Genomic DNA, 13,429 nt, shown 5'->3' with positions numbered 1-13,429 from the left:
TATTTGCAGATTGTTCATTGTTAGTTTATAGAAATGGAACTGACTTGTGTGTGTTACTGTATCCTGAAACTTTGTTGAATTTCATTATTCTACCAGTATTTTGTGGAATTTCAGGATTTTTACACATTACATCATGTTGTCTGTGAACAAAATTTTGTACTTTTTCCTTTCCAATTTGCATGCTTTTTATTACTTTCTCTTGCCTAATTATTCTGAGTAGAAATTCCAGTACTGTGGTGAATAGAAGTGGCAGGAAAAGATGTTGCTATCTTATTCCTGATCCTAGAGGAAAAGATTTTAGTTTTTCACCATTCAGTATGATGTTAGCTGTGAGCTTTTCATGTACAATCTTTATTTACTGAGGAGTTTCCATATATTACTAATTCTTTGAGTGTTTTTATTACAAAAGGTGTTCATCTGGCTCTGGAACCAGATAAATGTTGACCTGATAGAATGGATTGGAATGTCCCCTTCTGGTTTTTGAACATTTTTGGAATATTTTGCAAAGGGCTGGCATTAATTCTTCTTGAAATGTTTGGTAAAATTTTCCAGTGAAGTTATCTGGACCTGGAATTTTCTTTTTTGGGGGGTTTTTGATTACTGGTTGAATCTTCTTACTAGTTACAGGTCTCTTTGGATTTTTTATTTCTCCATGATGCAGTATGGTGGTTTGTGTTTCTAGGAATTTATAAATTTTTCTAGGTTGCCCAGTTCTGTGGCATATGGTTGCTTACATTAGTCTCTTGTAATCTTTTTCATTTCTGTGGAATCTGTTGTACTGTCACTTCTTTTATTTATGATTTTAGTATTTGAGATTTCTCTTTTTTTCTTAATATAGCTGTGAGTTTTAAAATTTTTATTGATCTTTAAAAAAACAAACTCAGTGGTTTTTTTTTTCCTTTTTTTCTGGTCTTATTCTGCTTATCTCTGTTCTAATCTGTTATTTTCTTCCTTTTGCTTGGTTTGTCATTAGTTTTTTTTTTTTTTTCCCTTTAGGTGTAATGTTAGGTTATTGATTTGAGATCTTTCTTCTTTTTAATTTGATCACCTGCAGCTATAAGCTTCCCTTTAGCATGGCTTTGAGATCTTTCTTCTTTTTAATTTAAGCATCTGCGGCTGTAAGCTTCCCTTTAGCACTGCCTTTGTTGCCTCCTCCTGAGTTTGGGTATGTCATGGTTTTGTTTTCATTTGCTTAAACATTTTTTTTTGTCCTATTGTAATATAATTGTGTTGTTTTCAATAGAGGTAATTAATGAAACACATAATGAATTGTGCTTCTGTTTTTATAATATTTTAAGCATTCTTAACTCAGAAATGTAAATTTTAGAAAAAAATTCCATGCCAGGCACAGTGGCTCACACCTGTAGTCCCAGCACTTGAGGAGGCCGAGGTGGGAGGATCATCTGAGGTCAGGAGTTGGAGACCAGCCTGGCCAACATGGTGAAACCCTGTCTTTACTAAAAATAGAAAAAAAATATATAAAAGCTAGCTGAGTGTCATGGCGGGTGCCTGTAATCCCAGCTACTCTGGAGGCTGAGGCAGGAGAATCACTTGAATCTGGGAGGCGGAGGTTGCAGTGAGCTGAGATTGCACCACTGCACTCCAGCCTGGGTGACAGAATGAGTCCATCTCAAAAAAAAAAAGAAAAAAGAAAAAATTTGAGACATATTTATTTGTATTTCAATTTAGAAACTATGATCTCCTAAGTGTATTGACACAGCAACCTGACATAAAGATAAAGAATAATAAGTATATAACAAAACGGAAACTTGCAAATACCTTTTTTAATTAATTTTTAATTATATATATTTAAAAATTGCCGGGTGCAGTGGCTTACACCTGTAATCCCAGCACTTTGGGAGGCTGAGGTGGGCAGATCACATGAGGTCAGGAGTTTGAGACCAGCCTGGCCAACATGGTGAAACCTCATCTCTATTAAAAATCAAAAAATTAGCCAGGCGTGATAGCATGCATCTGTAGTCCCAGCTACTCAGGAGACTGAGGCAGCAGAATTGCTTGAACATGGGAGGCAGAGGTTGCAGTGAGCCAAGATAGTGCCACTGCACTCCAGCCTTGGTGACAGAGTGAGACTCTGACTCAAAAAAAAATTGTCTGGGCACGGTGGCTCACACCTGTAATCGCAGCATTTTGGGAAGCTGAGGCAGGCAGATCACGTCAGGAGATCGAGACCATCCGGGCTAACACGGTGAAATGCCATCTCTACTAAAAATACAAAAAATTAGCCGGACGTGGTGGCGGGTGCCTGTAGTTCCAGCTACTCCGGAAGTTGAGGCAGGAGAATGGTGTGAACCTGGGAGGTGGAGCTTGCAGTGAGCTGAGATTGCACCACTGGACTCCAGCCTGGGTGACAGAGCGAGACTCTGTCTCAAATAAAATAAAATAAAATAAAACTAAGGTGTGGTTGACATACAAAAATTACACATATTTAATATATACCTTTGTGTGTGTGTGTGTGTGTGTGTGTGTGTGTGTGTGTGTTACGGAGGTTTTACTCTTGTTGCCCAGGCTGGAGTGCAGTGACACGATCTCAGCTAGCTGCAACCTCCACCTCCCGGGTTCAAGCAATTCTCCTGCCTCAGCCTCCTGAGTAGCTGGGATCGCAGGCGTGCGCCCCGACACCCGGCTAATTTTTGTATTTTTTTAGTACAGACAGGGTTTCACCATGTTGGCCAGGCTGGTCTCGAACTCCTGACCTCAGATGATCCACCTGCCTTGGTCTCCCAAAGTGCTGGGATTACAGGTGTGTGACACCGAATATATACATCTTAATGAGTTTAGAGATAAGTATTCGCCCCAGGACTCATCACAACAAATAATGCCGTAAACTTGACCATCACTCCCCATATATTTCTCATTCTGACCCTTTTTAAAAAATGAGACCGGGAGTGGTGGCTCACGCCTGTAATCCCAGCATTTTGCGAGGCCGAGGCGGGTGGATCACGAGGTCAGGAGATCAAGACCATCCTGGCTAACACAGTGAAACCCCGTTTCTACTAAAAATACAGAAAATTAGCTGGGCGTGATGGCGGGCACCTGTAGTCCCAGCTACTTGGGAGACTGAGGCAGGATAGTGGTATGAACTCGGGAGGCAGAGCTTGCAGTGAGCTGAGATCGTGCCACTGCACTCCAGCCTGGGCAACAGAGTGAGACTCCGTCTCAAAAAAAAAAATGAGATGACCATTTCACCTAAAAGATACCCTCTTAAGTTTTATTTTAAGTGTACAATACAGGACGGCCATGCATCAGAGATATATGTGGGTTTGGTTCCAGACCACTGCAATAAAGTGAGTTATACAATTTCTTTTGGTTTTCCAGTGCATGTAAAAGTATGTTTATACTGTGCTGTATAAAGTGTGCAATAGCATATGTCTACAAAGTGTTCACACTTTAATTTACAAATACTTTATTGTTAACAAGTGCTAACAGTCATCTGAGCCTTCAGAAAGCTGCAATCTTTTTTTGTGTGCGTGACAGGGTTTTACTCTGTGGCTCAGGCTAGAGTAATTGCAGTCTCAACCTCATGCTCAATCAAACCCCCACCTCAGACTCCTGACTAGCTGGAACTACAGATACATGCCACCATGACCAGCTAATTTTTGTATTTTTTTTTTTGTAGAGATGGGGTTTTGCCATGTTGCCTTGACTTCCTGGGCTCAAGCAATCTACCCACCTTGGCCTCCCAAGGTGTTGGGATGACAGGTGTGAGCCACTGCACCTGGCCAAGTTTCAGTCTTCTTGCTGATGGAGGGTCTTGCCTTAATGTAAGGTGGTGGTTGCTGAGCGTTGGGGTGGCTGTGGCAATTTCTTAAAATAAGACACCATTGAAGTTTGCTGTGTCAATTGACTCCCTTTCACAAAAGAATTATCTGTAGCATACGATGTTGTTTGATAGCTTTTTACCCACAGTAGAACTTTCAAATTGGATTCAATCCTGTCAAACCTTCGTACAGCTGTACCAACTAAGTTTATGTATTATTGTAAATCATTGTGTCAATCCTGTCAAGCCCTCCTTCTGCTGTACCAACTAAGTTTATTCTAAATCTGTTGTCATCTCAACATTGTTTACACTGTCTTCACCACGAGTAGATTTCATCTCAAGAAACCACTTTCTTTGCTCATCCTTGGAAGCAACTCATCCACTCACGTTTTCTCCGGAGGCTGCTGCAGTCTCGCCAGATCTTCAGGCTCTGTCTCTGATTCTAGTGCTCTTGTTATTTCCACCATATCTGCAGTTACCTCCTCCACAGAAGTCGTGAACCCCTGTGTCATCTGTGAGGGTTGGAATAATCTTCCCAACTTCTCTCTCTCTCTCTCTCTTTTTTTTTTTTTGAGATGAAGTCTTGCCTGGGCTGGAGTGCAGTGATGCGATCCCAGCTCACTGCAACCTCCACCTCCCAGGTTCAAGCAATTCTGCCTCAGCCTCCCAAGTGTTTGGGATTACAGTCACCCCCGACCAGGCCCAGCTAATTTTTTGTGTGTTTTTAGTACAGACAGGATTTCACTATGTTGGCCAGGCTGGTCTCAAATTCCTGACCTCGTGACCCACGTGCCTTGGCCTGCCAACATGCTGGGATTACAAGTGTGAGCCACCACGCCCGGCCCCAACTTCTCCTAATGTTGCTATTTTGATCTTATTTTTTAAATCATGAATGTTCTCAATGACATCTAGAATGGTGAATCCTTTCCAGTAGGTTTTCAATTATTTTGCCCAGATCCATCAAAGGAATCACTTTCTAGAGAAGTTATAGCTTTATGAAATATATTTTTAAGTGATAAGACTTGAAAGTTGAAATTATTCTTTGATCCAAGGGCACCAGAATGAATGTTGGGTTAGTAGGCATGAAAACAATATTCAGCTCTTTGTACATCTCTGTAAAAGCCCTTGAGTACCAGGGGCATTGTCAGTGAGCGGTAATACTTTGAAAGGAATCTTATTTCTTGAGCAGTAGGTGTCAACAGTGGGCTTCAGATATTCAGTAAACCATATTTGTAAGCCGATAGTCTGTCATCCAGGCTTTGTTCCCATTTGTAGAGTACAGACAGAGCTGTGTTTTATCATAATTCTTCAGGGCCCTTGGATTTTCAGAATAGTAAATCATCATTGGTTTCAAGTTAACATCACCAACTGCATTAGCCTTTAACAAAAGAGTCAGCATGTCCTTTGAAGCCTTAAAGCCAGGCATCAACTCCTCTCTAGCTGGGAACATCCTAGATGGCATCTCCTTCTAGTAGAAGGCTGTTTTGTCTCCATTGCAAATCTATTTAGTGTTGCCATCTTAATCAGTTATCTTCTAGATAGCTTTCTGCAGCTTTTCCATCAGTACTTGCTGCTTTATCTTGCGCTTTTATGTTATGGAGATGACTTTTTTCCTTAAACCTCAAGAAACAAGCTCTTCTAGCTTCAGACTTTCCTTCTGCAGCTGCCTCACCACTCTAAGTCTTCATAGAATTGAAGAGAGGCCGGGTGCGGTGGCTGTCACACCTGTAATCCTAGCACTTTGGGAGGCCGAGGCGGGCAGATCACCTGAGGTCGGGAGTTCGACACCAGTCTGACCAATGTGGAGAAACCCCGTCTCTACTAAAAATACAAAAAAATAGCCAGGTGTGGTGGTGCTTGCCTGTAATCCCAGCTACTTGGGATGCTGAGGCAGGAGAATGGCTTGAACTTGGGAGGCAGAGGTTGCGATGAGCCAAGATCACGCCATTGCACTCCAGCTTGGGCAAGAAGAATGAAACTCTGTCTCAAAAAAAAGAAAAAAAAGTAAAAAGAGAGTTAGGCTTAGGCTTAATGGAATGTTTTTTGTTTTTTTTTCATCTTCTATCTAGACCAATTAAACTTTCTTCATAACAGCAGCAAGATTGTTTAGCTTTTTATCATTCATGTGTTCACTGGAGCAGTACTTTAAATTTCTTTCCAGAACACTTCGTTTGCATTCACAACTTGGCTAAGTGTTTGTTGCATGAGGTCTAGCTACTGGCCTGTCTTGCTTACAGCATGCCTTCCTCACTAAGCTTAATTATTTCTTCCTTTTGGTTTAAAGTGACAGACATGCAACTCTTCTTTCATGAACATATAGAGGCTATTGTAGGGTTATTAATTGGCCACATTTTAATATTAATAAAAAGAAGCCTGAGAAAAAGAGAAAGAGAAATGGCCCGTTGGTTGGGCAGTCAGAACAAACGCATTTGTCAATTGTTTGCTGTCTTATCCTGGTGTGATTTGTGGTTCCCAAAACAATGACAACAGTAGCATTAAAGATTACTGATTACAGATCACCACAACAGATTCAATAATAAAAATCTTAAAATACTGTGAGAATGACCGAAATGTGACACAGAGACGTGAAGTGAGCACGTGCTGTAGGAACAATGGTGCCAGTGAGACCTGCTTATTGCAGGGTGGCCACAAACCTTCAATACGTAAAACACATGGTCACAAAACACAATAAAGCAAAGTGCAGTGAAACAAGATGTGTCTGTCTTTTGATAGACTCTGACAATCTCTACCTTTGAATTGGTACATTCATACCATTAACATTCAAAGTGATTATTGATATCATTGGATTAATATCTACTATATTTGTTACTGTTTTCTATTCATTCTCCTCAGTCTTCATTCTTTTGTCTACCACTCTTTTTCTGCCTTTTGCAGTTTTCATTGATGATTTTAGATGACTCCATTTTCCCTGTCTTTCTTAGTACATACTTCTCTTTTTAAAACTTTTTTTTAACTAGTTGCCACAGAATTTGCAATATACATTTACAACCAATTCAAGTCCACTTTCAAATAACACTATCCAACTATCCCACAAATAAGACTACCTGCTTAACAAACAAAACACCTAATTCCTCAGTAACATTTACAACCAATTCAAGTCCACTTTCAAATAACACTATCCCACTATCCCACAAATAAGACTACCTGCTTAACAAAGAACACACCTAATTCCTCAATATACATTTACAACCAATTCAAGTCCACTTTCAGATAACACTATCCCACTTCACGGGTGACTACCTGCTTAACAAAGAAAACACCTGATTCCTCCCTCCCATCCTTCCATTCCATTCCTTGTATTATTGTTCCTTATTTCACTTGTGTATAAGCATGCATAATCTATCTGTGTGTATTTATTATTATCTACAAACTTATTGGTCAGATCAACTATGAATAAATACATGTTTTTATTGTACCACAATGCCTCCCTACCATCCTTCCATTCCATTCCTTGTATTAGTGTTACTCATTTCAATTGTATATAAGCATACATAATATATCTGTATTTGTTATTGTCTATGATCTTCTTGGTTAGATCAATTAAGAATAAATACATAGGTTTTTATTGTACCACAATTCTTTCTTTAATGTTCTTTTTAAAAAAATGTTGATCCAGGTTTCAGTTATATATCTTTTGTTTCCCTAAAGAATTTCATTTAACATTTCTTGCAAGACAGGTCTCCTGGCAACAAGTTTCTTGAATTTTTATTTTTCTGAGGAAGGCCTTAATTCTCCTTCACTTTTGAAGGGTGGTTTCAGTGGGTACAGAAACTTAGGTTGGTGGGTTTTTTCTGTCAACATTTTGAATTTTTCATTTCACTGTCTTCTTACTTTCACAGTTTCTGAAATGTTGAATGCAGTTCTTATCTTTGTGTCTCTGTAGGTAAGGTGTTTTCTGCCCCACCTCTGGTTTCTTTCAGAGTTTTCCTTTATCTTTTATTTCATATAGTTTGAAAATTATATGTCCAAGTGTAGGTTGTTGGTATTTATTCTGCCTGGTGTTCTCAGAGCTTCCTGGATCTTTGGTTTGGTGTCTGACATTAATACTGGAAGTTCTCAGACATGGTTGTTGCAGAACTTTCTTCTATTTCTTCTCCTCTTGGTATTCTCATTACTGTTTCACCTTTTGTAGTTGTCCCACAGTCTTGAATATCATCTTCTGTTCTTTTCAGTGTTTCTTTTCTTTAGTTTTCGAAGTTTCTGATGATAAATCCTCAAGCTCAGAGATTTTTACTCAGCTGAGTCCAGTCTACTAATAAGCCATCAGAGGTATTCTTCAGTTATTTACCACGTTTTTCATCACTACATTATGTTGAAAGTTCTTACGATGTCTGTCTTTCTCATTACATTACCCATCTACACTTGAATACTGTCTACTTCATTCATTAGGCCCTTAGCATATTCTCCAGAGGTTTAAAAAAAAATTCCAAGATCATATCTTTGTCTGCTTCTGAAGCTTGCTCTGTTGACACAAATTGTATTTTTTTCTTTTTTTGGATTTTAGTATGCCTTGCAATTTTTTCCCTTTATTCTGATGCATGAAGTACCCACTAAAAGTGACTGTTGTTAGTATAGCTTCAGTAATGCGGTGATGAGGTGACAGGGCAGGTGATGCTCTCTTAGTCTCTTTAGGCTACTATAACAAAATACTTCAGACTGAGTAATTCATAAACAACAGAGATTATTGTTCACAGATCTGGAGGCTGGAAAGTACAAGACTAAAGGGCCAGGATATTTGGTGTTTGGTGAAGGTCAAACATTCAGACACTCTCAACGACTATAGCGACAGCAGCAGTCTTCAGGAATCCTATGTGAGGGACAAACACTCAGAAGCCAGCTGGAGTGTTCTAGAATCCTATGTGAGGGCCAAACATTCAGACCACAGCAGTAGTGTTGTGGAATCCTATGTGAGGGACAAACTTTCAAACCCTTGTAGCAGTGTTCTGGAATGCTATGTGAGGGACAAACATTCAGACCACGGGAGCAGTGTTCTGGAATTCTATGTGAAGGACAAACATTAAGACTCTCATAGCAGTGTCCTGGAATCATATGTGAGGGACAACCATTCAGACACCAGCAGAAGTGTTCTGGAATCCTAGGTGTGGGAAAAACATTCAGAACCTAGTAGCAGTGTTCTGGAATCCTATGTGAGGGACATACATTCAGACCACGGCAGCAGTGTTCTGGAATGGTATGTGAAGGACAAACATTCAGACCCTTGTAGCAGTGTTCCAGAATTTTATGTGAGGGACAAACATTCAGACCACAGCAGCAGTGTTCTGGAATCCTATATGACGGACCAACATGCAGACCCTTGCAACAGTGTTCTGGAATACTAGGTGAGGGAAAAATATTCACACCCTTGTAGCAGTGTTCTGGAATTCTATGTGACTGACAAACATTCAGACTCCAGCAGCAGTGTTCTGTAATCCTATGTGAGGGACAAACATTCAGACCCCAAGAGCAGTGTTCTGAAATCCTATGTTAAGGGAAACATTGAGACCCCAGCATGAATGTTCTGGAATCCTATGTGAGGGACAAACATTCAGACCACGGCAGGAGTGTTCTGGAATCCTATGTGAGGAACAAACATTCAGACCACAGCAGGAGTGTTCTGGAATCCTATATGAGTTATAAGCATTCAGACCCTCATAGCAGTGTTCTGGAATCCTATGTGAGGGAGAAGCATTCAGAGCACAGCAGGAGTGCTCTGGAATCCTATGTTAGGGACAAACATTCAGAACCTCGTAACATTGTGCTGGAAACCTATGTGAGGGACAGACATTTAGACCCTCGCAGCAGTGTTCTGGAATCCCATGTGAGGGTCAAACATTCAGATCCTCGCAGCAGTGTTCTGGAATTCTATGTGAGTGACAAACATTCAGACTCCAGCAGCAGTGTTCTGTATTCCTATGAGAAGGACAAACATTCAGAATCCAGGAGCAGTGTTTTGAAATCATATGTTAAGGGCAAACATACAGACCCTAGCATCAATGTTCTAGAATCATATGTGAGGGACATACATTCAGACCCTCGCAGCAGTGTTCTGGAATCCTAGATGGGGGACAAACATTCAGACCCCAGCAGCAGACTTCTGGAATCCTATGTGGAGGACAAACATTCAGACAATGGCAGCAGTGTTCTGGAATCTTATGTGAGGGACAAACACTCAGAGCCTTGTAGCAGTGGTCTGGAATCCTATGTGAGTGAGAGTGCCTTGAGCCTACCCAACCTGACGCCCCCAAAGCCCTCACAGGGTCTGACCTCCCAGCATGCACCTGCCTCTCCCTGAACCCCAACTGCCCACCCTGCCTGTTCCCCGGCCTCCTCCATCCTGTGCAGCCCATAGACTGTGACCATCTCTCCAGCCACTCTGGCCCTTCCTTTACCTTTGTCCTGTCAGAATCTCTGAGCAGGATCTCCCAGGTCCATCCAAATACGTGCTTTGTCCACTTTTGACTAGGCCCTTGGGCATCACTGGGCTATCCCAGCTGTCCACAGGGCCTTCAATAATGCACAATGCACCTGGCTTATCCAAGCAGTGCTCAGCAGCCCACATTGACCAGGTCCCTGCTGACCAGACCCCACACATCAGGTCCTCCCTGATGACACCCTCACTGATTAGACTCTCATGATCAGGCCCCAGTAACAAGGCCCCCACTGCCGGGCACACAATGACAAGGACTCCACTGACCAGGACCTTACTGACAAGGACTCACTGACAGGGCCTCACGGACCAAGTCTTTACTGACAAGTCCTCACTGACTAGGTCATTATTGACAAGGCCTCACTGATCAGGTTCCACTGATCATGAACTCATTCCCTGGCCCAAAGATGAGGCCCCACTGACCAGGCCTCCAGGGAACAGGTTGCCACTGATCAGGCCCCTAATAACGAGGCCTTATGTCACCAGATGCCCCTGACTGGGACCCTAGTGAGTAGACCCCACTGAACCGGCACCAAATGCTGAGATCCCCGCTGACCAGGTCACCCTGTAGACCGGTGCTACAAAAGTCACCACTGACCAAGTCCTCTCTGACCAGGACAATACAGATTAGGTCCCACCGACAAGGCTGCCCTGACCAGGGCCCCACTGACAAGGGCCTCACTGATGAGGACACGCCCACCAGGGTCTGCTGACTAAGTCTCATGTGCCCAGTCCTCCACTGAATAGCACCCCTTGACCTGGTCACCAGTGCCCCAGCCCATGCTGACCAGGCCAGCACTAAGCCCCAGCTGACCAGGTCTCCACTGATCAAGCCCCACAGCCCAGGTTTGCACTGACCAGACACCAAACAACTGGCAGCCAATAGGTCCCCACTCACCAAAACCCCCACTACTAGACCCCACTAATGAGACCCTCTCTAAGCAGACCCCTGCTGACCACTATCCCACTAAATAGTCCTCACTGACCTAGGTCCACTGACCAGGCCCACACTGATCAGGCCCCTCCTAACCACACTGGAAATCCAAGCGGCAATGACATGTTTCATATGGCAGAAGTTGGAACAAGACAGAGAGAGGAAAGAGGTTCCACAGCCTTTTAAACTACTAGATCTCATGAGAACTCACTCACTATCAGGAGGATGGCATTAAGGGCTTGGCGCTTTGCCATTTGTGAAGGATCCACTCCCACTCCTTTATGATTAAAGCTTTTTCCACCTAGGCCCCGACTCTAACATTAGGGAGTGTACTTTCACATGAGCTTTGGAAGGGGCATAGAGAAAAACCGTATTATTCTGTCCCTGACCCCACAAATCTCATGTCCTTCTCACATTGCAAGATACAGTCATGCCTTGCCAGCAGTCTCCTAAAGTCTTAACTCATTTCAGCATTAACTCAAAGTTACAAAGTGCAAAGTCTCATCTGGGTCAAGGCTACATTCTCTTTTGCCTACAAGTCTCTGAAATAAAAAGCAAGTTCACTGCGTCTAAGGTACAATGATGGTACAGGCATTGTGTAAGCTTTCCATATCCAAAAGAGAGACATTTTCCAGAAAGCTTCTTATTTTTATCTGAGGCCCCCTCAGCCTGGCCTTCACTGTCCATGTTTTTGTCAGCATTCTTGTCACAGCCATTTAACCAGTCTCTAAGATGATCCAAAAATGTTCTCATCTGCCTGTCTTCTTTGGAGCCCTCCAAACTCTTCCAACCTCTACCCATTACCCAGTTCCGAAGTTGCTTTCACATTTTTAGGTATCTTTATAGCAGTGCTCCAGTCCTCATTTGCCATTTTTGGTAAGATTTATCTTGAAAAAGAGGTTTAATTGGCTCATGGTTCTGCAGAGTGGACAGGAAGCTTAGTGCTTCTGCTTCTGGGGGGCCTCAGAAATCTTTCAATCATTGTGCAAGGTAATGAAAGAGTGAATTGTCTCACATGGCAAGAGGAAATCACGGAGAGTAGGGAGTGATATAGAGTTTTCAGTGGCCAGATCTCACGAGAAGTCACTCATGATTGTGAGGACAGTACCAAGGGGATGGTGCTGAACCACTCATGAGAAATTTGCCTTCATGATTCAATCACCTTATACCAGGATCCACCTCCAACATTAGGAAGCATAATTCAACAAGAGATTTGGTGGGGACACAGGGACACATATTCGAATTGCCTCATCAGTCTTTGAGTATAAAGACATCCATAGCAGGCTTTATCCAGCCAGCTTCTTTGGGATTCTTTATAGGGTTTCAGATCTATACGATATCCACTAAAATATTCCTACTTCAAAAGGCAATAAAGTAAGTGGTATTATCATTCTTCAAAAAGTTATAATGGTAGTGTAGGCATTCATAGTATGATTTAGTTCATTTGCTACTGTTTCTATTCTATCACCATATTAACACTTTCGTACACAATTCTATATTCAGCTGGGTTTCAGTTGAGCACAAAGTCATCCTTGTACTACCACCGATAGCTGGCACCAGCTCTTTGATACTGTTATCATTCTGCTGTAGAAAGTACCCGTGAACTGGAAAAAGTCCACACTCGAATAGCTAGTCATTCAACACTATCAAATTTTAGGTGACTTTTTGAAAAAATAGTATCTCTTGTTGCAAGAAATGCTCCATCTGTGATTTCAAGTCTCTCACTTGAGTGAATTGGATGGAAGTGGTGAATTTCAGCCAAAGTGGCCAAAGAAATCCTGTTCCTGTGATAATGACTCCATCAGCCTCTGCACCTCTGTCTTCCCTTCTGCCACATGTTGTCTGTTCTCCGTGACTTTGGTAAGAGCTTCCTTGTGTATGTGAATGATGTCCAGGATGTTTGTCTTGTGTCCCTGAGACAGCACTAACAGGTCCATGGCTGGGTCCAGGTCCTTCCTGGACTGACTGGCAAAGAGCTCACTGACAGAGTGGAAGGCATCTATACTGAAGTGGATGGCCTGGTCCAGCTCCAAGGCCTGGCTGAGGCTGAAGAAGAACTGTCAGGCTTCTGATGCTCTTTCTCAAAGCCTGCCACCACTCATTGGCTGTGAAGTTGACCTGAGTGCCCTGTTGTCCATCTTCTTGGTGAAGCACTTGAAGCCATCAATCTTGCTCTCCCACTCCTAAAAGTTGAGTGTCACACTGGGGGTGGGCTCAGGGCCAGGAAGAATCTGGCACTCACCATCTCATCCTTCTCAGCCTTCCTCTT

At 42.4% G+C, this 13,429-nt stretch overlaps 2 long non-coding RNA genes and 1 pseudogene across 3 annotated transcripts in view; 1 reads left to right on the top strand and 2 right to left on the bottom strand.

Annotated features, from left to right (window-relative positions):
• Positions 1–13,429, top strand: part of LOC105379566 (endogenous retrovirus group K member 18 Pol protein) — a 61,897-nt gene that overhangs the window by 26,679 nt on the left and 21,789 nt on the right. The gene's annotated exons all lie outside the window — the stretch shown is intronic.
• LOC107987401 (uncharacterized) overlaps positions 5,721–13,429 on the bottom strand; it is a 27,734-nt gene continuing 20,025 nt past the window's right edge. The window contains exon 4 of one of the 2 annotated variants that reach the window (XR_007068559.1): positions 5,721–5,758. This is a non-coding gene — a long non-coding RNA (uncharacterized LOC107987401). Of the gene's footprint in view, positions 5,759–9,669; positions 9,710–13,429 lie in introns of those variants that run through there. The other variant, XR_007068562.1, reaches the window with a different exon arrangement.
• Positions 12,609–13,429, bottom strand: part of SNX18P17 (sorting nexin 18 pseudogene 17) — a 950-nt pseudogene continuing 129 nt past the window's right edge.

Source organism: Homo sapiens, unplaced genomic scaffold (assembly GCF_000001405.40).
Source record: "Homo sapiens unplaced genomic scaffold, GRCh38.p14 Primary Assembly HSCHRUN_RANDOM_CTG42".
Classification (NCBI taxonomy): domain Eukaryota; kingdom Metazoa; phylum Chordata; class Mammalia; order Primates; family Hominidae; genus Homo; species Homo sapiens.
This window is presented reverse-complemented; position numbering and strand designations above follow the sequence as displayed.